The sequence below is a fragment of the Homo sapiens genome, chromosome 3, assembly GCF_000001405.40.
Source record: "Homo sapiens chromosome 3, GRCh38.p14 Primary Assembly".
Lineage (NCBI taxonomy): Eukaryota > Metazoa > Chordata > Mammalia > Primates > Hominidae > Homo > Homo sapiens.
In genome coordinates this window covers 192727640-192752529 of record NC_000003.12, presented here as the reverse complement: position 1 = coordinate 192752529, position 24890 = coordinate 192727640, and the positions used below count along the sequence as shown (strand labels likewise).

Here is a 24890-nt window from a genome sequence, read left to right as displayed (position 1 = left end):
CAGGCACGCACTATGATGACTGGCTAATTTTTTGTAATTAATGACACTTTTCGTCTATTTTATTTTCTGTGGTGTTTCATTATGAAGACATAAAGGGCCATAGGAAAAATCGGCTCAATACAAGTCAACTAATATTGATGACTCTCTTAGAGGGACAAATGGAGTCACCAATGGTAGTTGATTAGATTGAGTAGTTATACAAATTGAGTAGTTGTGTGGGTGTACAATCCCTTATCTATAATTCTGAAGTCCAAAATGCTCTGAAATATGATAGTTTTTCTGTAAATGTATAGCAAATGCTCTTGGTCACAAAACTTGTCCTGTCCTTATATGAAGTTGTTTATACTCTTTACTTAGCCCACTTATTAAGAATATTCATATGTTTTCTGAAGAAACACGAAAGCTTTCAATATTGGGTTCCTGCCCCAGATCCTGCTGGGGTGTTTTTAATATAGTAAGACAGACACTGAACTATCTTTCTGAAATACAAGTAAGTATAAATTCTTGAAACACATATGGCCTCAAAAGGTTTTAGACAAGAAAGTTTGAGTTTGTACTAAAGTGAATATTCTATTTCAAGGAGTAAAATTACATATGATATGGTAGCAGGAAAAAAGCAAGGTTAAACAGAAGTGATTGTTCTGTCAAAGTCGCTAGGAAATGAGCCAATGTCGAGGCCATCAGAACAGAGCAGGTGAGAAGGCAACTGAGCCGCGTGGAATTGCCGATCCTACTTCTGCCTGGCTTCAGCGACTGCAAGTGGAGTCACGGAATTCTTCAAATAAAATGTTTAAGTCAGAATCTTTGGATTTGTATTATATAGGGTTCTGAGGAGGAGAGCCATGGTGATTTGGAAAATAATATGCAGTCGTTTTTAGGAATTTGGCAATGCTGTCTCATTGAGCAGACTGACCTCCAGGGAGAAGCTGACTTTCTGCCGTTTCCTTCTTATGCATGTTTCCTTGTTAGAAATTAGCCAAATCATTTGACCTGCATGACTACTTTTTTTTTTTTTCATTTAAGTGGGAATGGTGCAAAGTGCTTACTTTACCATATTCTAATCAAGACATAAAATATCATTTTAAAAAGACTTATAGTCCCACATAGGCCTTGTTCACAAGGTCACATGACAGTACAGCCTCTGGTTCTGGTAGAGTGACTTCAGAGCTGGGTGTTAAGAGTCATGGCTCTAGTTTCAACCTCAATATTAATTTCTAGTGCAACCTTGAGCATGTCATTTTCGCCTCTCTAGACCTGTTTCCTCACCTAGAAATCAGAAGGCTTGGAAATAATGATCTGTGAGGTCTGTTTTGTGATTAATGCTGAACCTACGAGTAACAAGATGATAATGATTATACTAGGACCTTCTAGTTTGTTTAGCAATTTATAGTTTATAGACAACTTCACATCCATTAAGTCACAACAAATTTGTTAATATATGCTAAGCAAATATAACCCTGGAAGTATTATATAGTAAATGCTGAGCAAGAATAATACTGAGATGTATTATTCTCTTCCAAAAAAGTTAAGAGAAAAGGGACACTACCTGACCAACATTACAGAGCAAACTATTGTCCAATTACAAAAGGGACAGACCATGTCTCCTGACTTCTTAACTACCCGCCCCCCTACCCCCCGTGATATTTCTACTCCGGCTCACTACCTCACTAGTTTCAGAGATGGCTTGCTTAATGGCGTTCCCCGAGAAAACACACTTGTGACCCTAGTGTGGACCTAAGTGAATAGCTTTTTTTTTTTTTACATTTAACAGTATTGTACTTGGACAGAAAATAGCCAGATCATGTTTTAGCTTCTGTTAGTCAAGACACTAGTTTTCCTTAATGGCTGAGAAGATACTGGCAGATGCAATTTTTAAAATGTATATGAAAGAAAGACAAAAGAGGGAGTCACTTCCCTCCCTGGGCCCCACTTTCCCCATCTGTAAATGAACCTGGCATTCAAGGGCCTCTGCCTTCTGCCTCTGACCTTGCCCAACACCACTCCTCTCTATACTCTAAGAACCCAGTTCCTCTATTACCCACGAGGCAATCTCACGCTGCTTTTGCTTCCGTAACTCTCTCTTCTCTTATTTATCTTCACTATTCCAATTCTCCTTTTTTTCTTAGGCCAGCACAAACTCCCTGAAGCATTCTTTGAATTCCTCTGCTGGAAGCTAGTGTTTCTTCCTCACCTGCCAGTCACCTGTTTGACTTGTGGATGATGCTTAACAATTTCTGCCTCATATTATAGTCATTTGTTACCTGTTCCATGTCCTTATCTCACGAATTCTCGATGACAGACACATCTCTGTGTCCTGTTTCTTCTCCAGGAGTGTGGACCTCATGAAGTACAAATTTAATAAATATCTGAACAAACAAAGAATGGATGATATTTGAGGTCCTTTCTAACACAGACTCTGATTTTAGAGTAACATCATACTCATCCTGAAGCAAGTTTAATAAGAATTCATTTAGAAGTAAGATATTTTTTGTGAAGTTATTATAGAGACTTGTCTAATCAAAAACTAAATGATCTTGGCTGAATTCTCCTTCTTTAAAAATAAATCCATTCAAAGGTAGATGCCATGTAGTAGAAAAAAATGCTACCTGGGTTTTGTTGTTGTTGTTGTTGTTTTTTGGTGTGGGAAAAGTGAAATTTGAGATACTGTTCTATTTCTTACTAGCTGTGTGACTTTAGACAAGTCATGCCACTTTTCTGAGTCCATTTTTTTTTTAACCAGTAGGTAACGATGTCTTCACGGGGTTGGGAAGAGTTAAGGTGATAATGGATGTGAAAGTGTGTTGCAAACTAAAAAGAACCCCACACATAAAAAGGGTTATTATTATCATTACCATTATTATTATTTAAAAAGTCATTTCCACGGGATGTAAATGCAGTCTCTACAGCTCCTCTGGGCCTCTAAGTGTACAGACTGTATTTACAAGTTTATAAAACTCCCAATATGGAGTTGAATAACAGCCAATCAATGCTAATGGCGCTGGATCCTTATTTACAGAGTGCCTTTCCTCTGAGATCAAGAGCTGTTAATAGCTAAATCCATCAAATTTTAATTAATTTCCATTCCGTAGATTGTCTGACAAATATTTACTGCATGCCTACTATGTGTCAGGCAGCATTTTAGACAGTGGGTGGGTCATTAATATTGCTAATGATCTACTTACCTTATGGAAAACTGCAGATCCACAGTTACGTGCAGACAAAGTCAGGGGCAGGGCTACAGTCCAGAGCTTAAGGTGGGTATGGCCTACATTGTGCTAAGGATAATTGTTTCATGAGCTGAAGCTGGGCAACTTTAGTAAGAGGTGACTCTTTGGTAAGAGTCACATATCTTCATCCACAGAAAACTGGGCCTTTTCCTTATTTGCCCATAATGAGAAATGATGTCAGTGGCTGAAAGACACATTGTGTGACCCAAGTTGCAGGGGTTAGGTTTCTGGGCTGCTTTGGTCAGCTCAGTTTCAGACACTTTGGAATGGAAAGTTTAAATGTAGCTATTGATTGAGAGAGATTTGAGTCTGTCCCAGAGCTGACTCCTGCAGAGCCCTGCACCTGGCTGCAAACGCATTTCACAGAGGTGCAATTTCACTTTTATCATCTAGAGAGAACAGATTCTTTTCCAATTGGAGGATTTTTAAGATGCTGGGATCAAAGCTCCACTTTCATGTGCGGTTGACTCAGAGAACTAGGAGTCAGCAGGGATATGGTGAGCCAGCCCAAGATGCTACAGGGAGCATTAGGCATGTTTCCCATTTCCAGCCATGTAGCCTCTCAGACATTTTCTACCAAAGGGTTCCGAGTAGGCCTCCACAGCTTTGGAATATCCCTAGCAGTTTTATCTAGAACAGGAAAATCACATAGATAATTTGCATCATCTTGAATGGCAGGATTGTTGACAGTCATTTGACACATTTGCTGAAGGATTATCACTTTTTCTCACTTTTGAGAAAGACCCAGAGATGACAGGGCCACCTTCCTCCAAAAGCTCACTGTGGGGTGATTAAGAATATAAATAATTAGAAGGGACCACTCATTCAACAAATAGTCCTTGATAGAGTTTTTTTTTTTCCCCAAATCACACTCTTCAAAGAGTAAAAAGGATTTGATGAAACCAGAAAGTGTTTTTTTGTTTTTTTTTCTATAATGTGGTATTTGAGATACTTTTGTAGCTGACTATGAAAAATTTTGAAGAAAAACAAAAACAAAAACAAAAAACAAAGATGGTTTGAGAATGGGTGCATTCCAGAGGTGAGCAATGTCCTAGAGGCAGGGAAATGGAAACTGACCCTGGGCACCAAGCATCGTCCTGTGAGGGCAGATTGGAGAGTACAGCAGGCAAGAACTGGATAAAGAGTTTCTGTGGGTCACTTTGGCAGCCAGCTTAACTCTGTGAAGGCAATACTGTGAAACTTTGAGAGTGCTATTTGGAGGCATTTAAATGATTGACCATGTACAACCTCACTCGCTGGTCTACAGTTATCTCACAATTCACCCAGTCTCTTATATGTAATAGATTTCTCTGAGCAACTGGAAAGCCAGCCTCTCCTCAGATAACAAGTGCCATTGTAATTCGTGATGAATAAAGGCTCAGAATGACCTACCACCGTGATTTTTCCAAACACTTGGGATTTTGTGTGTATGTCATTGATAATTGTCTTGCTTTTGGCAAAGTGGCCCTAGAAAAGTAGTAACCATACTGAATCATTCATTTTATTTTGATAAATAATATATTGGCTTGGATGAGAAAAAAAAAACTCTCCTATCTTCATTTTGATTATATTCCTTTGGATCACAGGCTCACCTTTCTCCCTGATTTAAATATAAGAAGCCATCCTGTTTTTGGAAGTAGTTACTTCTTGTTCTTCACTTGATTGTTATAATATTCTTAGTGATTTGGGAATTAGTGTATTTACGTAGTTATCTAAGTAAGTGTTCATCAAAGTATAAACTCACTTCTAGGTTTAAGTGTGAATTCTATTTAAAATTCTTTAAGATATTCATCAAATATATACGTGTGTGTGTAGGTGTGTGTGTGTGTGTGTGTGTATGTGTGTATTTATGACATTACTCTTTTAAAAATACCCAGAGCCCCCAACTGACAACAGTGAGAGAAGTGTAGAATAGTGGATAGGACCTGGCCCTGGAATGCAAGAGGAATGGATTCTCCAGGGACTCTGCCATTTACCAGCTTTGTGATGCAGGGCAAGCCACATACCTGTTCTGAGCCTTGATTTTCCTTCAAGACAAATTCTCACCCTTTCCTGCCTCCAACTAATACAGTAATTCCCCTTTATCTGTGAAGGATATGATCCAAGACCCCTAGTGGGTGCCTGACACTGCAGATAGTCCTCAATGCTATATATGCCATGTCTTTTTGATTTGAAAACAGAGATGACTACCAAGTGACTAACAAGCAGGTAGTGTATACAGCATGGATATGCTGGCCAAAGGGAAGATTCATGTTCTGGGCAGGATGGAGTGGGACAGTAGGAGATTTCAACACACTACTCAGAGCTGGGTGCAATTTAAAACTTATGAATTGTTTATTTCTGGAATTTTGCATTTAATATTTTTGGACCCTGGTTGACTGTGGGTAACTAAAACCCTGGAAACTGAAACCATGGATAAGGGAGGAACTACTGTATTTATTGAATGCGAGGTGTGGCACACTTCTCATACAATTATGGATGCTTCTCTTACAAAGCTTGAAGCCTAAAAGGGTGGGGGGCAAAGGTTCTCCAGCAATTTAAGTCATCATGCTCAAGAAATGCTCAAGGTTCTATGAGAGCCCAGGTTGAGCGCATCAAATCATACTGGAGGATATGAAAAAGCTTCCTAGAGGAGCTGACATTTGCACTAAAGTTTGAGTGAAGTAGAAAGAGAAAGGGGCACACTGTTTTTCCAAATAGGGAGAGCAGCATGGACGAACGCAGAGGCGCAACACAACTTGCTATATCTGGGGGAACCATGGGAGGATCTTGGTAGGAGGTAGGAGAGAGGATAAGAATGGGAAAGGTGGGATCTGGGGCTGCAGTGGTGAAGTCTCTTTTAGGCTCAGCTGGCAATACCATTGCTGCTAATAATAACTACCTTTTGTTGACTGAATTGAAAATACAAGTTAAGCTCATTTTTAGATTTCAAAGATTGATAAAATTAGCATTGCTGAGTGCCTAGCTTTTTACCAAATAGTCATTTCTAATATGCACTATACAATTTCTCAAATGTAAACAAGTATTAACCAGATCTGCTGACTTAACTGAGATCAATTAACAATGTCAAGAGCTAAAGGATTATGGAAATGTTGATGTCCTTTTGTGATATAAAATTTTACAACTGTTCATTTAAATATTCACCCCAGTGCTTTGATAAACTGACCCAAATCTTAGCATATTATCGAGATAATAAGGGTTTACTAGGTAGTATTTATCCTACTTTAGTTCTCTTGAGCATAGACGTTCAGTAGATTTTTTATTTCTTGGCACAATTTTATGAGCATTCAAATTAAAACTATTTTTCATGTTTAGTGTAGTAGTAACGTATGAAAAGCTAAACAGGAAAATAAAATAAAACCTTAAATCCAAAATTGCAATGAGAGAGAAGTGTTGAAATTCAATCCACCAATGATTACTGAATCCATCCACATGTTAAATTCAACCATTTTTTTTAAAGCTCTGTTTACTTGATTTGTTTAACCTTGTGAACTTAGGAATAATCATTTGCAAACTTGACAATAATACTGTCAGCCCTCCGTATCTATCGGTTCTACATCCATAGATTCAACCAACTATGGATAAAAAATATTTAAAAAAAGATTGCATTTGCAATGTTCACATGCAGTGAACATTGAATTTTTGTCTTATTATTCTCTAAACAATGCAGTAAGACAACTATTTACATTGTGTTAGGTATTATAAGTAATCTAGAGATAATAAAATAAGTGTACATAGGTTAAATGCAAATACTATACCATTTTATATCAAGGAGTTGAGCATCTGTGGATTTTGGTATCCAAAGGAGGCCCTGCAGCCAATACCCTATAGACACCAAGGTTCAACTGTATAGACAAAGGGCACAGTATATGGAGTAAGTGGTTAATAAACTGTACATATCACTTACCAGGCTTTGTGCCAAGCTCTCTCTTGACCTTACCTCCAGGGCAGAGCAGTTGGAAGAGGTGAGCCAACAGGATTTCTGTGGGAGCAGAGGCGCCAGGAGAGGTAGAGCTGGAAGGGCTGTTATCCTGAAGGTTCTTTAAGAACTCGTGGAATTGGGAGGAGCCAAGATGGCCGAATAGGAACAGCTCTGGTCTACAGCTCCCAGCGTGAGCGACGCAGAAGACGGGTGATTTCTGCATTTCCATCTGAGGTACCGGGTTCATCTCACTAGGGAGTGCCAGACAGTGGGCGCAGGCCAGTGGGTGCGTGCACCGGGCGCGAGCCGAAGCAGGGCGAGGCATTGCCTCACCTGGGAAGCGCAAGGGGTCAGGGAGTTCCCTTTCCGAGTCAAAGAAAGGGGTGACGGACGCACCTGGAAAATCGGGTCACTCCCACCCGAATATTGCGCTTTTCAGACTGGCTTAAAAAACGGCGCAGCACGAGACTATATCCCACACCTGGCTCGGAGGGTCCTACGCCCACGGAGTCTCGCTGATTGCTAGCACAGCAGTCTGAGATCAAACTGCAAGGCGGCAGCGAGGCTGGGGGAGGGGCGCCCGCCATTGCCGGGGCTTGTTTAGGTAAACAAAGCAGCCGGGAAGCTCGAACTGGGTGGAGCCCACCACAGCTCAAGGAGGCCTGCCTGCCTCTGTAGGCTCCACCTCTGGGGGCAGGGCACAGACAAACAAAAAGACAGCAGTAACCTCTGCAGACTTAAATGTCCCTGTCTGACAGCTTTGAAGAGAGCAGTGGTTCTCCCAGCACACAGCTGGAGATCTGAGAACGGGCAGACTGCCTCCTCAAGTGGGTCCCTGACCCCTGACCCCCGAGCAGCCTAACTGGGAGGCACCCCCCAGCAGGGGCACACTGACACCTCACACGGCAGGGTATTCCAACAGACCTGCAGCTGAGGGTGCTGTCTGTTAGAAGGAAAACTAACAAACAGAAAGGACATCCACACCGAAAACCCATCTGTACATCACCATCATCAAAGACCAAAAGTAGATGAAACCACAAAGATGGGGAAAAAACAGAACAGAAAAACTGGAAACTCTTAAAACGCAGAGCGCCTCTCCTCCTCCAAAGGAACGCAGTTCCTCACCAGCAACGGAACAAAGCTGGATGGAGAATGACTTTGACGAGCTGAGAGAAGAAGGCTTCAGACGATCAAATTACTCTGAGCTACAGGAGGACATTCAAACCAAAGGCAAAGAAGTTGAAAACTTTGAAAAAAATTTAGAAGAATGTATAACTAGAATAACCAATACAGAGAAGTGCTTAAAGGAGCTGATGGAGCTGAAAACCAAGGCTCGAGAACTACATGAAGAATGCAGAAGCCTCAGGAGCTGATGTGATCAACTGGAAGAAAGGGTATCAGCAATGGAAGATGAAATGAATGAAATGAAGCGAGAAGGGAAGGTTAGAGAAAAAAGAATAAAAAGAAATGAGCAAAGCCTCCAAGAAATATGGGGCTATGTGAAAAGACCAAATCTACGTCTGATTGGTGTACCTGAAAGTGATGGGGAGAATGGAACCAAGTTGGAAAACACTCTGCAGGATATTATCCAGGAGAACTTCCCCAATCTAGCAAGGCAGGCCAACGTTCAGATTCAGGAAATACAGAGAACGCCACAAAGATACTCCTCGAGAAGAGCAACTCCAAGACACATAATTGTCAGATTCACCAAAGTTGAAATGAAGGAAAAAATGTTAAGGGCAGCCAGAGAGAAAGGTCGGGTTACCCTCAAAGGGAAGCCCATTAGACTAACAGCGGATCTCTCGGCAGAAACCCTACAAGCCAGAAGAGAGTGGGGGCCAATATTCAACATTCTTAAAGAAAAGAATTTTCAACCCAGAATTTCATATCCAGCCAAACTAAGCTTCATAAGTGAAGGAGAAATAAAATACTTTACAGACAAGCAAATGCTGAGAGATTTTGTCACCACCAGGCCTGCCCTAAAAGAGCTCCTGAAGGAAGCGCTAAACATGGAAAGGAACAACCGGTACCAGCCGCTGCAAAATCATGCCAAAATGTAAAGACCATCGAGACTAGGAAGAAACTGCATCAACTAACGAGCAAAATCACCAGCTAACATCATAATGACAGGATCAAATTCACACATAACAATATTAACTTTAAATGTAAATGGACTAAATGCTTCAATTAAAAGACACAGACTGGCAAGTTGGATAAAGAGTCAAGACCCATCAGTGTGCTGTATTCAGGAAACCTATCTCACGTCCAGAGACACACATAGGCTCAAAATAAAAGGATGGAGGAAGATCTACCAAGCAAATGGAAAACAAAAAAAGGCAGGGGTTGCAATCCTAGTCTCTGATAAAACAGACTTTAAACCAACAAAGATCAAAAGAGACAAAGAAGGCCATTACATAATGGTAAAGGGATCAATTCAACAAGAGGAGCTAACTATCCTAAATATATATGCACCCAATACAGGAGCACCCAGATTCATAAAGCAAGTCCTGAGTGACCTACAAAGAGACTTAGACTCCCACACATTAATAATGGGAGACTTTAACACCCCACTGTCAACATTAGACAGATCAACGAGACAGAAAGTCAACAAGGATACCCAGGAATTGAACTCAGCTCTGTACCAAGCAGAACTAATAGACATCTACAGAACTCTCCACCCCAAATCAAAAGAATATACATTTTTTTCAGCACCACACCACACCTATTCCAAAATTGACCACATAGTTGGAAGTAAAGCTCTCCTCAGCAAATGTAAAAGAACAGAAATTATAACAAACTATCTCTCAGACCACAGTGCAATCAAACTAGAACTCAGGATTAAGAATCTCACTCAAAGCCGCCCAACTACATGGAAACTGAACAACCTGCTCCTGAATGACTACTGGGTACATAATGAAATGAAGGCAGAAATAAAGATGTTCTTTGAAACCAACGAGAACAAAGACACAACATACCAGAATCTCTGGGACGCATTCAAAGCAGTGTGTAGAGGGAAATTTATAGCACTAAATGCCCACAAGAGAAAGCAGGAAAGATCCAAAATTGATACCCTAACATCACAATTAAAAGAACTAGAAAAGCAAGAGCAAACACATTCAAAAGCTAGCAGAAGGCAAGAAATAACTAAAATCAGAGCAGAACTGAAGGAAATAGAGACACAAAAAACCATTCAAAAAATCAATGAATCCAGGAGCTGGTTTTTTGAAAGGATCAACAAAATTGATAGACCGCTAGCAAGACTAATAAAGAAAAAAAGAGAGAAGAATCAAATAGACACAATAAAAAATGATAAAGGGGATATCACCACCGATCCCACAGAAATACAAACTACCATCAGAGAATACTACAAACACCTCTATGCAAATAAACTAGAAAATCTAGAAGAAATGGATACATTCCTCGACACATACACTCTCCCAAGACTAAACCAGGAAGAAGTTGTATCTCTGAATAGACCAATAACAGGATCTGAAATTGGGGCAATAATCAATAGTTTACCAACCAAAAAGAGTCCAGGACCAGATGGATTCACAGCCGAATTCTACCAGAGGTACAAGGAGGAACTGGTACCATTCCTTCTGAAACTATTCCAATCAATAGAAAAAGAGGGAATCCTCCCTAACTCATTTTATGAGGCCAGCATCATTCTGATACCAAAGCTGGGCAGAGACACAACCAAAAAAGAGAATTTTAGACCAATATCCTTGATGAACATTGATGCAAAAATCCTCAATAAAATACTGGCAAACCGAATCCAGCAGCACATCAAAAAGCTTATCCACCATGATTAAGTGGGCTTCATCCCTGGGATGCAAGGCTGGTTCAATATACGCAAATCAATAAATGTAATCCAGCATATAAACAGAGCCAAAGACAAAAACCACATGATTATCTCAATAGATGCAGAAAAAGCCTTTGACAAAATTCAACAACCTTCATGCTAAAAACTCTCAACAAATTAGGTATTGATGGGACGTATTTCAAAATAATAAGAGCTATCTATGACAAACCCACAGCCAATATCATACTGAATGGGCAAAAACTGGAAGCATTCCCTTTGAAAACTGGCACAAGACAGGGATGCCCTCTCTCACCACTCCTATTCAACATAGTGTTGGAAGTTCTGGCCAGGGCAATCAGGCAGGAGAAGGAAATAAAGGGTATTCAATTAGGAAAAGAGGAAGTCAAATTGTCCTTGTTTGCAGACGACATGATTGTTTATCTAGAAAACCCCATCGTCTCAGCCCAAAATCTCCTTAAGCTGATAAGCAACTTCAGCAAAGTCTCAGGATACAAAATCAATGTACAAAAATCACAAGCATTCTTATACACCAACAACAGACAAACAGAGAGCCAAATCATGAGTGAACTCCCATTCACAATTGCTTCAAAGAGAATAAAATACCTAGGAATCCAACTTACAAGGGATGTGAAGGACCTCTTCAAGGAGAACTACAAACCACTGCTCAAGGAAATAAAAGAGGATACAAACAAATGGAAGAACATTCCATGCTCATGGGTAGGAAGAATCAATATCGTGAAAATGGCCATACTGCCCAAGGTAATTTACAGATTCAATACCATCCCCATCAAGCTACCAATGACTTTCTTCACAGAATTGGAAAAAACTACTTTAAAGTTCATATGGAACCAAAAAAGAGCCTGCATTGCCAAGTCAATCCTAAGCCAAAAGAACAAAGCTGGAGGCATCACACTACCTGACTTCAAACTATACTACAAGGCTACAGTAACCAAAACAACATGGTACTGGTACCAAAACAGAGATATAGATCAATGGAACAGAACAGAGCCCTCAGAAATAACGCCGCATACCTACAACTATCTGATCTTTGACAAACCTGAGAAAAACAAGCAATGGGGAAAGGATTCCCTATTTAATAAATGGTGCTGGGAAAACTGGCTAGCCATATGTAGAAAGCTGAAACTGGATCCCTTCCTTACACCTTATACAAAAATCAATTCAAGATGGATTAAAGATTTAAACGTTAGACCTAAAACCATAAAAACCCTAGAAGAAAACCTAGGCATTACCATTCAGGACATAGGCATGGGCAAGGACTTCATGTCCAAAACACCAAAAGCAATGGCAACAAAAGCCAAAATTGACAAATGGGATCTAATTAAACTAAAGAGCTTCTGCACAGCAAAAGAAACTACCGTCAGAGTGAACAGGCAACCTACAAAATGGGAGAAAATTTTCGCAACCTACTCATCTGACAAAGGGCTAATATCCAGAATCTACAATGAACTCAAACAAATTTACAAGAAAAAAACAAACAACCCCATCAAAAAGTGGGCGAAGGACATGAACAGACACTTCTCAAAAGAAGACATTTATGCAGCCAAAAAACACATGAAAAAATGCTCATCATCACTGGCCATCAGAGAAATGCAAATCAAAACCACTATGAGATATCATCTCATACCAGTTAGAATGGCAATCATTAAAAAGTCAGGAAACAACAGGTGCTGGAGAGGATGTGGAGAAATAGGAACACTTTTACACTGTTGGTGGGACTGTAAACTGGTTCAACCATTGTGGAAGTCAGTGTGGCGATTCCTCAGGGATCTAGAACTAGAAATACCATTTGACCCAGCCATCCCATTACTGGGTATATACCCAAAGGACTATAAATCATGCTGCTATAAAGACACATGCACACGTATGTTTATTGCGGCATTATTCACAATAGCAAAGACTTGGAACCAACCCAAATGTCCAACAATGATAGACTGGATTAAGAAAATGTGGCACATATACACCATGGAATACTATGCAGCCATAAAAAATGATGAGTTCATGTCCTTTGTAGGGACATGGATGAAATTGGAAATCATCATTCTCAGTAAACTATCGCAAGAACAAAAAACCAAACACCGCATATTCTCACTCATAGGTGGGAATTGAACAATGAGATCACATGGACACATGAAGGGGAATATCACACTCTGGGGACTGTGGTGGGGTGGGGGGAGCGGGGAGGGATAGCATTGGGAGATATACCTAAGGCTAGATGACGAGTTAGTGGGTGCAGCGCACCAGCATGGCACATGTATACATATGTAACTAACCTGCACAATGTGCACATGTACCCTAAAACTTAAAGTATAATAAAAAAAAAAAAGAAAGAAAAAAAAAGAAATAAAGAACTCGTGGAATTAAGGAAGAGAGATAAAAAGCACAGCTGGAAGTTGAATCTGGTATCATGCTGACTAGGGAAGTGAGATCGTTAACACAAGTCAGACACAAACCTGGTGGCTAAGTAAAGAGAGACAATCTAGGAGCAAATTGCTTAGTGAGTGGAGTCAAAGGATGGAGATCTAAATTTGCATGTGGTCCATATTTATTTTGCAGTCTCAACAGCTTGGGAAGCCAAGGCTGAACCCTTAAAGGAGCTGCACTGGGAAGGGAAGATCTGGTGGAAAACTCATGCAAGATTCAGGCTTTGCAGGCAAGGAGCTAAATCTGACATGACAGGTAAGCATGAAAACAGTCAGAACTTCAGATATGGTAAACTCTGTGTTCAACTGAAATCCCAGGAGTGTTAAGGCTTCCTCGTCAATCCACATCTAGCCAACCTTTTCTTCTCATCTTCTTCCATTGCAGGAACACTAAACTATTTACTTTTCCCCAAATCACCCTACACTGTCTTCACTGAGCCTTTTAATGCTGAAACCTCTGTCAGGAATGGCTTTCTCTACTTCGTGGAAAAGGCTTTTCAATGTTCCCTGCCCCTTCCCTGGCTGGGAAAGTAATGCACTCTCTCTCCGTCTTTGGGTTCCTGTAGCACAAGTTTATATAAACACCAGTGGTGGAAGATGGCTCACCTACCAAGTATATGTCCTTGAGGCACGTACAAAGGTCAAGAATTTAAATTCTGTAAGTGTTCGGTTGCATTTTTGACTCTATTCCTCACTTGCTGCATATTTTGGGCAAATAATAGACCTTGGAGCCTCAGTTCCTTTTCAGTATTGTTATGGGGATTTAATAATACAGTAGATATAAAGTACCAGGCATAATGATAGGCAAAATTTAGGATGTTTGGTTTGTTAAATTCAATCTTTGGAATTCATAATATAAATGAACATAAATGTAAACTAGTTGTATACCTTATAATGGATTTTAGGAGCTACCTTCAGCTTAAGAAAGAAGTTTGATTTCCTAAATTATCATGCTGCCTTTTTGATAAATTCTTTGATGCCACACAAAGACAAGCCATTCTCTTCTCTTGGCAGTTTACTGTTTTATCATCATTATAACAATAAAATGGTGACATTTTAGTCTTATTCAATATATAATCCACAAAGTTATTTCAGTCAATTTCATAAGCTTATTTCATTTTCTCAGTGTTGATTTCTTGATTCTGATTTTCAGTTTATCATTGAGATGGATGAACTATCCTGTTTCTTTCTTTTTTTCTCTCTCTCATTCCTTCCAGCTTAGTTGCATTCAGATTCCAGTGGTTCTCTATTCAGGGCCTAAGTAATACTTGCTGCATGATCTCCATGCTTTAAAACAACTAAAAAACAACAACAAAAATAATCCAAGTAGAGAAAAGGCACCATTTCTGTTGGCAATTCTCCCACCTCCATCTGTGCTGCCCAAAAGTGTCTGCTTTCTGTACTTACAAGACATTAGTCTTTTGGCACTATCATCCAGAGCAAATAGTGCTGAATGTAATAATAGCAAGTGATTTGGCATGTGCATCAATGTGAAAATAGAGTTTACAAATGCACAGTAATGTATTCTGCAAGAATACATCATCTTTTTAAATGTGTTTCTTGAACATACTTATGTTCAGTGAGAAAAACCACATCCATTATTAGAAAGGTAGAGTGTCTCTTCATATTCTGGGAAAATTTTTGATAGATGATTGCTATATTTAGCCATGGAAGCTAACATCTCACTTAAGGGGGGAGTGCCCTCTGTTCAGGGAGAAAACCAAGAATTGGAGTATTTTAAGTTCCCTGCTTAAAAGAAGAAATAATTGGGAGGAAACCAAAGGAAGTGGGTAAAAGGATCAAACAGTAACATTCAGCTACATTCAGAGCTTGAAACTGGAAAATAAAAATCAATAGAATATTTATCATTCATGCATTTCTTTTTCTAAAGCACTCCTTCTTTCCTTGACCAAGTCAGGATACTAGCTCAGCTCATGGAGGTCTGTGGAGCCAAGCAAGGAGATTATTAATGAGGATTGTGTGTGCGCTGCTTGTGGTGGTGGTGGGAAGGTGTGTGCGCTGCTTGTGGTGGTGGTGGGTGTTTCAGGAGATGGGAAAGCCAAGACCAGAGGGAGAAGAAAGTAAGACTAAAAAAGGCCAAAGTCTAAGAAGCCAGAAGTGGAGAACTTTTTTTTCTCCAACTTGGAGATTTGGGGAGAAAAGAGCAAGAATGAAGCAGGTTGATGGGAAACACCGACAGTGTTGATAATACTACCCAATGCAGAACAAGCACGGCTATTCAAAGTTCATTTTTATTTGCTCCTGGGGTATAATGAAGAGTGAATCAACTAAATTGAAAAGTTCTGGAACATTTTCAAACTTCATTCATTTAATTACTCATTGACTGCTTCATTAATGAATTCAGAATATAATTACTCTATGCCTGCTATATGCTGGGCACAATGCTATGTGATGGGAATACTCCACCTGTCTTAGCCTATTCAGGATTCTGTAACAGAATACCACAAACTTGATGACTTATAAACAACAGAAATCTATTTATCATAGTTCTGAAGATTGGGAAGTCCAAAATCAAGGCTGCTGGTAGATTTGGTGTCTAGTCAGTGCCCACTTCTGCGTTCATAGAAAGCAGTCTGTGGCTGTAATTTCACATGGCAGAAGAGGCAAGAAGCTCTCTGGGATCTCTTTTATAATGGCTTTAATTCTACTCATAAGTGTTTTTCCCTCATGACCTAATAATTGCTCAGAGTCTCCACATCCAAACACTATTATGTTGGGAATCAGGTTTCAATGTATGAATTTTGGGGGAACACAAACATTCAGTCTATAGCACTGCCTTTATAGAGAGACAGATATATAAATAAATGGCAGACATAAATAAAAAATACTGAAAATGCTATGAAGATTAAGAGAAGGCTTCTTGTGAAACACTTTAACTGGGTTTTGAAGGATAAATAAGAGTTTCCTAAGCCAGAAAAAAAAGTGAGCCCCAAGGTTATAGCCAATCTTGTAGCTCTGTGAGATTGTATTTATCCCTTCCTCTGTATCACAGCCTGAATCATCTGCCAACTTGGCTTGTTGGCATGATGAAGGCAATAAAAATGAGATAAACAAGTAAAAAGATATAAGGGAGAGGGGGCAATGAGGCGGGTAGGTGGAGATCATTTTGATGGGGTTTGTATTTCTTCATTCAGTAGTTGAGTGGTATTAGTGGGGCCTAGTAGAATACTATTGTTTTACTTCAACCTATTTTCTATTTTTTACTTAAATACTTTGCACTTCATCAACATGTGGAAGTAAAGTGTAGTAAAGGTATTAAAGTGACAATATAAGATAATGGCTAAAAGTATTGACTTTGGATTCTAGCAGTTCCAAGTTCAGATTCAAAAGTCTTCCCCTCTCTAGGGCTCAGGTGTCTCATCTATAAACTAAAGGAGTTGGGCTAGAGGAACTCTAGTGTTCCTTTCAGGTCTGACTGACTTTGATTCCAAAAGGAATACAGCATTCCATGGGATAGCCTAGAAGCACTGCTGGCCCAACACAGATGCTTCCAGTATTAGGTCTGGAAAGGGCCTTATAGACTGTTTTGTCAAAGTCCCTTCTTTCACAGAATAAGAAACCAAGGATACATCTCAATCTTTCCAGCATCCTTTTTATAACAGCTACTACTTTTTAATTATTAATAGCTTGTGATTCTTCAGAAAGAAGGGGAAAATGTTTAATGAATAAATTTAGAAGCGATTGGATAGACTAAATAAGAAGTTTGTCAGTCATGGTAAATAAACCTAAATTTAAGATCAGATGAAAAACATTTTCATCTGATACTTTAAATTGAGACAGATTTTAAGTGACTGAAAGGGGCTGGCAGCATCAGCATCATATTATCACAACCCTAGGCCTAGAGCTCAGTATGCAAGAGAACCCTCTGGGCAGAACAGCAGTCTTGGTTCCACCTCTAACTATAACTCTTTGCTTCCTTTACAGTCCCATGGTCACCTTGCTAGGGCAAATGGTTAGAGAAAAAAAAATGTAAAAAGTTGTGGAAACACTTTTTTAAAAAAGCTATCAGATAGACAAATCCATTTGTCATTTTTTTTAAGCTGCAGAGTATCAGTACTATCTACTATCAGCAATTGGTTATGACCTCCAAGTCCCTGCTGATAATACCCTTGTGTCAATACACATGTGGGGTCCATTATGCTATTGCATTCTTTTGCTGTTATTTAATTTTAGTTGGCTTAAATTACTCATTACTCTTTTCCTCCCTTTTAAAAAGCAGGGTTTTTGGAACCAATAACATAGCTAATTGTTTCATTTCTGCATTTCACTTTCCCTGGGTAGCCATAGCCGCTATGTGAATTGAGATTTGAATATAAACATAAACCATGAAGATTTTTCATCAAGTAAGAGCACTACTAATAAAATAGAGCTTTGTTATTATTCATCACACGAACAATACACTTGTATCACATCTATCAGGTGTCGTGTAGAACACATTGTGGAGGTTTCTTATTGGCAGCAACACATTTAGTATAGTTATCGTTTTCCAGCCCTTCAACAAGAACTTCTGGATGTATTTACTAAGTGAAATAAATAAACTTCTGAAACAATGCTTTGCAGTACAACACACATAGGACTAGTCCTAGTCCTCCAACCTAAGAATGTATACAAATTTGCATAGAGGGTGCCATAATGAGATAGGCATCAGCAGACTACTTCTAGTCTTGTTTATAACTTGCTATTTGACTTGAGAAAAGTTGTCCTCCTCCCCGCTCCTAATGGGTCTTTTTTCTTACTTTTGTTTAATAAGTATTTGGGCTACAAGATTTATGAAGTTCATTCCAACGGTGAAACTATAATGTAAATATTATGAGTCCACAGATTTATGGTGTATCCCAGCACCTACACTAGTGTCTTGCACACAGTAGGTTCTCAGTAAATGAACAAATGATGGACTTTAGTTAATTTCTTTATGACTGAATACTCGTATGCTATTATTACAAAAATATCGAGCATCTGTGTATTTGGAATTTTGAGGGGAGGGTGGGAGATGTATAGGATGAGAAAATGTCAAATGTCCACATTCTTTAGATGCAGCATTTTTTATGATGCCTTTTTGGACCAAACCTTGATGTACATTTGGTCTATTCTTAGCACCAGGGCTCAAGGATTGGGTTGGTCTTCATAATGATCCTGAGCAGATTCAAGAAGTTACTTTTGCGTATTGGATTGCCAGGTTATTTCTTATTCCTAGAATGAAAAGGGACAATCAACTGAAAAGTTTTATTTTCTAGTATCCTATTTTGACTGATTAAGGTTTTGACTCACAACCTAAACATTAATGAAATTGGCATACCACATTTTAAGTGGGCATTATGCCAGTGTAACAGATGGGCCTTGAAATTGTCAGTTGATAGCTTGTGTATAAATTTCTAATATCGTCAAGTGGAGAAAGTCCTTAACAAGAAATGTAAAAAACGTTTGTGAGTTGGCTTCCAGATGCCTTACCCATGCATCATTACTCTGTTACACGACTCTGCAAGTCTCTTTAGATACTTAATAGCCCCTAGAGAGATCACTGTTAGACCATGTAAATGGGTAACTCCATGGAAAAATATACCCAGATGAGCTGCATCTTCTGCCCTTTCCTGTCTTCTCAGACTGTTCCTTACCTTCATTCCTTCCCTGCAACCTGAACCATTTTTATTGAAGCTTTATCATGTGTCACTGCCTTTTTAGGAAGATCATTCTTTCACCCTCACTCAAGGAAGAGAATGAGAACCTTGCACATAGTAAGCAATCAAGACATGTTTGCTTTCTGAGGGACGCTGTCTAACTTCTACAGCATGGTCACTTTCACGTAGTTTTGCCACGTCAACCCATCTTCTTCTTGTGCTTTGAAATTTTAATCTTCCTATTCTTTCATCTTCTATGACTAATTTCTTCCAGCCTCCTAGCTTGTTTGCAAAGGCATAGCCCACCTATTAGCTTGCTTAAGAGGAATACCTGAACTCAAGTGCAGAGAAAACTGAATGTAGGCCTGATTATTTATGGTCTTTGCCCAAGAGTAAGCACGGAGCACACTTGTTAACTGACTTCCTGCCTCATGGTGATCCTGTTGCTTCTTACAGGTCACTTATGACCTAGTTTATGCCGTCAAGGATTGCTGATTGATGCTTCTCAGTTGCCAAGTGAATTGGCTTTATGGCCACCAAAAAAAAGCTTTTTCTCATTAAACTCATTCATTTATTCATTGGATATTAAATAAGACTTTCTAAGGATGACATGCTCTTCTAGAAGCTGGAAAAACAACAGTGACAAAAATGGACAAGGTCCTTGTTCTTGTAGAGCTTACATTCTGGTGACAGTTTGAACTGACACTCTCAGTGGAAACTGAGCTGACCATTTGTTTCATCTTAGAGTGAGTACTCACTTCTAGAGGTGAGTTGACCTCAATGTCATCACCAAAAAGTCTAATAGACCAACTTCTCTTTTTTTGTAAATATAAAATATGTTATAAAAGATATTAGTTATAAAAAATGAACAGTAAGAAAATAATTGGGCACAAATAAATGGTCACACATTTCTCTCAATTTACATTCAGCACTTCTGGACAAACAGCATGAGTATATGGAAAAATTGTATGCAGGCTGGTAATTGGTTTGGCATTTTAACAAGGCTTTTAAAATAGTTATAATGTAATGTATTGCTGTTAATTAATTTCAATCATTTATATTATTTCTGTACATTCTAGTAGGAACTAAAGGTATATGGTCATATAATTTATTAAGCCAGAACTGTTTTTGATGGGCAAAGGGGGCATTCTTTAAAAGTATGTTGTGACAATGAGTATAAAACGGGAACATTTTGGGAAAACCAGAATGCACATTCACCCCAAATACAAGAAACCCGGTCTCACCTAATTCTTGGCACTTTGAAATAGCAAATTGCCAGGCTACTAGTCTATTTCCCCTATTCCAGGATTATCATTAAGTGAGTTCATCATAACTAGATCAAATTATGTTTCATCAACACTTTTATGAAGCAATTCTTCCTTTAAATCCTCTTCCATTTTGGGATGGGGGGATTAGACCCTTTTCTTATTAAAAAGGAGGGAACCTTCAGGGATTCCAGCTCTAATCCTTAGCCTGGATGGATCCAAGACCCTATATATAATAGTGAGTACAATTTATTGAGTGACCAGTATTTTAGACACTTTTATAAGTATTATGGTCAGTCCTTACAACAGCTCTGCCTACAAGAAGATATTACTTACTTTTCCAGATTAAAAAAATAGGACCCAAATGGATTAATTGCCCAAGATGGTACCATAAATAATAAGAAGCAAATTGTATTTGAGCCCACGTCTGTCTGGTTCCAGAATCTATTTTTTTCACTATGCTCTACTGTCTCTCTATTCAAATGTATGATAGAAAACTTAGGTGAGATAAAGAGATATGATCTCTCCCAGATACTCTGGAGTTTTGTAGCTCTGATCCCGGAACAGTACTAAGCATTTCTCTGCCTCCGTCCACTTTCCTCTTTGACATTGGAGATTCACATCTGGCAGAGAAACCTGGAAAATGATAATAACTTCTTATGTCCAAAAGTACTTTTGCACACTCACATGGTCCCTGCCCCACACTCATACCCCAACCCTGTGAAGCTCACACTTCAAGAACTAGCTCTATATATGTCTCCTCCAGGAAACTTTCTTAAAACCCTCAGGCTGGCTGACTGCCAACTCTTCTGCACCTCCTACTCCACCTGTGACAACCTATCTTATACCTTACGATAGCTTTTAAAATCATTTATGTTTCTATCATCTTCAATAGACTTTATGCTTCTGTACGGCAGAGATCATGTTTTATTCATACTTTAACCTCTCTGTGCTCCAGGTTGCTTATCTTTAAAACAGAGATCATAATAGTACTAACCTCATAATATTTTATTTTATTTCTTAAATTGACAAATAATAATTGTACACATTCATGGGGTAAACAGTGACATTTCAATACATATAATGTAAGTGATCAGATCAGGGTAATTATTATATTCATCATCTCAAATATTGATCATTTCTTTGTGTTGGGAAACTTCAATATCCTCCTTCTGCTGATTTTAAAGTATGTAAAATATTATTATTAACTATAACCATATTACAGTCGTATAGAACACTAGAACTTATTCCTCCCACCTAGCTGTAATATTGTATCCTTTTACAAATCTCTCCCTCCTTCCCCCTACCCTTCCCAGCTCCTCCTATCCTTTGTTCTACTTTTTACTTCTATGAAATCAACTTTTTCTTTTATCTTACACGTATGAGTGAGAACATGTGGTGTTTAACTTTCTGTTTCTTAGGCTTATTTCATCAAGCATAATGTCCTTCAGTTTCATCTATGTTGCTGCAAATGACAGGATTCCATTCTTTTTTATGGCTGAATAATATTTTATTGTGTATATGTACCCCACTTTCTTTATGCATTCATTTGTTGTTGGACACCTAAGTTGATTCCATATTTTGACTATTGTAATAGTGCTGCAATAAACATATGGGTGCAGATATCTCTTTGATATACTGATTCCCTTTCTTTTGGATAAATTCCCAGTAGTGGGATTGCTGGATCATATGGTAATTCTAGTTTTTTTTTTTTTTTTTTTTTAGAAAACTCAATACTGTTCTCCATAGTGACTGTACTAGTTTACATTCCCACCAACAGTGCATAAGAATTCCCTTCTGTCTGCTTCCTCACTAGCATGTGCTTTATTTTCTTTGTCTTTTGATAATAGCCATCCTAACTGGGATGAAATGATATCTCTTTGTGGTTTTAATATGCATTTCTCTGATGATTAGTGATGTTGAACTTTTTTTCATATATTTATTGGCCGTTTGCATGTTCATATAGCTTATTTAATGAATAAAGATAATATTCATTAAACATTTAGAATCCTTATAGTACCTGGCACATAGTAAGCTCTGAGCAATGTTAGGTCAATATTATCATCATTTTGTTATCATGGTGATTGTAGTTAATGTCACATAGTAAAGTACACAAAAACATGTATGCTAAATGTTATTAATTCATGAAACATTTTTATTGTTTCCTATGTTCAGGACACTCTAGACTACACTGAAGTAAAAGGAGGCCATTTAAAAATATGAGTGGGAAAAAGGAACAAGATATATACATAAATCATTCTGGTACAGAATAAAAAATAGTGATGGAAGAGAAGTAACTCATCAGTTTTGGAATCATTAGTGAGCGGATCATCAGTGTTCTTGGTAGAGAATATTTTCAGACTAAGAGTATCAGGGAAGACTGTAAGAAGGAGATGGATCTAGAGGAAAATATAAGATTTGAATTTGTAGATACTTGTGGTAGGTAGTGGTTTGATGAGGTCAAGATATTCCAGCAATGACTATGTAAGCAAAGGTAAGAAAAATCTTGACAGAGGAGCTATCATGAGCAAGAAGGTTGTTTTCCCAGTCAAGGCTTATCAATTGCATTCCAGATGTGCTGACCCCTGCAATTTCCCCATACGTGGGAAACTAGACTGCATAATTTGTGGTAGTGGGGGTCTGTGATCCCACTTTCCCCTGGTTTAAAAACAATCTTGAGGTTTGTTTAGGATAATAGCAATTGTTGTCTAGGAGTTAAGCTTGGAGAAGAATGGAAAGATCTTGAATGTCAGAACACAAATTTTGCATTAAATTTGATTTGCTTTCTATTTAATAAAGCAGCTGGGTTCTTAAAATTATGAATAAAAATAATGATAATTTATGAACTAGAAGGTTCTCCCTGTTCTTATTCACTGTAGATAATGGGAAGGCAGTTATATGAAAAATCATTCTGGACTATAGATGGCTTGCCTCTGCCTTTGAGGTATGACACTTAGGTTCTGAGCCCAGATCTGGTTCACCATGTGACTCTTTTCAAGTGCCACTCCTCCCCTGCCTTTAGTTTCTCCGTCTGTAAAAGAATAAATATGAAGAGTACATAGAGATGCATTCTAAAGATATCTCCTATTCTAAAACCTTTGAGAAGGAAAGAACATGTAACGGGGTGCAGTATTAAGAGCAGAAATTATTTATCTCAATGAAATAGACTATTGTTCTTAAGGAGCAACACTACTCCCACCCTAAGCTTACTTCCTAAGCCTATTCAACATTGAAAAGAAATCCTGAATTTTATGATTCTTCCAAACACGTACTTTGGCATACAGTTGGAGAACCTAAAAATTAGTAGGCCCTAGGTTGTGGCCTCTGCAATCCGATACTCCTAAATGCTGAATGGATCCAGGCGTTGCTGACCCACAGCAGTTCATTAGTGGGAGTCCTCCACTAATAATGTCCATGTCTGGCTGAACCATCCGTGGTTAATATTTGTAATCATGGCCCTCAGGCATTGGAAAAATCAAAGGATGCCCTCTGAATCACCAGAAAAAGATTAAATTAGATACAACTCCAGGTTTCTTGTTGGGAGTACATTTTATTATATTTCAATGTTTTGAAAATTGGGACTAGAAGCCTACTGTGGAAGGATCTTTCATGAAGTAGAGTATGTGACTAATCTGCACATCTCCTTCCTTAACCATTTCAGATAACAGAGTTTTCTGGACTTCTGGAGAATAAGATTATTATTCTCAAGGAGAGATGATCACCTCAGGAAAATCTGGACTATTGAAAAAAAAAGGTAGTAAATACAACACAATTTTTCCTGTTAAACATTTTGCATATAAACGAAATACAGTGTGGGCTTTAGAAATATTTTGATATGAAAGTAGCACTTCAAGAGATTTGTGGTTTTGCATCTTCCTCTAGAGCTCTGTACAAGAAAAATACTCTATCCCTGCAACTTCACAAAAATGATTAGGTATTGCTTTTGGAAGTACTTATTATCAATAAGACGCCTCCCCACCTTTGGGGACTTCTTGCAGGTTGTTGGAAAAAAGCTAAAAAGAGCACCTCAAAATATCCTCAGTGGCTTTTTTGAAGAACTTTAGAAGCCTTGGAGCCTGCTCATGGAACAGTTTTGAGGTGGAGGCAGGCAGGAAAACACTGAGTTTGAGTAACAAAGAAGCGAGAGAATATTAACCTTTGACAGCTCCATAACTACTCTCACCCCACTCTCGAAAAACAAAACAAAACACATACAGGAATATAACAAGCAATGTGAAGTCAGTGGGGAGAGGAGAGGGAAGCAGACAGCTGGAAAGTTACTGCAGCAAGTAGAAAGAGAAACCCAAATTGTGAACATTAAAAACGATTCGTAAATCTCTCCTCCCTGCCTTCTGAATAAAACCATACCCTGCCTGGAGACACTAGCCTCCTCTAAGACTTCAGTAATTCGTCCTGATGCACGCAGTACTAGTCCAATCCATTTTCTAGTTTGCAGAGGAAAATCCGGTCCGGCGTTTATTTTTAGCAGCGCTTCCCTGTGACCGAATGCTACAGCTCCTCAGCTGGGATAACTGAGGACCGTATTGGGGAGGGAGGCGAAGGGGGCGGGGGAGCG

General features: G+C 38.8%; 1 long non-coding RNA gene and 1 pseudogene across 1 annotated transcript, besides 2 other annotated features; both read left to right on the top strand.

Moving 5' to 3' along the window:
• The first annotated feature begins 1641 nt into the window (after positions 1-1641).
• On the top strand, positions 1642-24807 carry LOC107986056 (uncharacterized). Its single transcript, XR_001740579.2, has 3 exons — positions 1642-7383; positions 13547-13669; positions 23976-24807. It is a non-coding gene; the product is annotated as an uncharacterized LOC107986056 (long non-coding RNA).
• Positions 4917-5467: an enhancer, noted in NCBI's record as "OCT4-NANOG hESC enhancer chr3:192464852-192465402 (GRCh37/hg19 assembly coordinates)". NCBI's record gives its function as "activates a minimal SCP1, AML or CMV promoter by ChIP-STARR-seq in naive and primed H9 embryonic stem cells {active_cell/tissue: H9 hESC(naive and primed)}" and the evidence as "EXISTENCE:reporter gene assay evidence [ECO:0000049][PMID:30033119]".
• Positions 7550-8140: an enhancer, noted in NCBI's record as "NANOG-H3K27ac-H3K4me1 hESC enhancer chr3:192462179-192462769 (GRCh37/hg19 assembly coordinates)". NCBI's record gives its function as "activates a minimal SCP1, AML or CMV promoter by ChIP-STARR-seq in naive H9 embryonic stem cells {active_cell/tissue: H9 hESC(naive)}" and the evidence as "EXISTENCE:reporter gene assay evidence [ECO:0000049][PMID:30033119]".
• On the top strand, positions 22814-22975 carry RNU1-20P (RNA, U1 small nuclear 20, pseudogene; annotated as a pseudogene).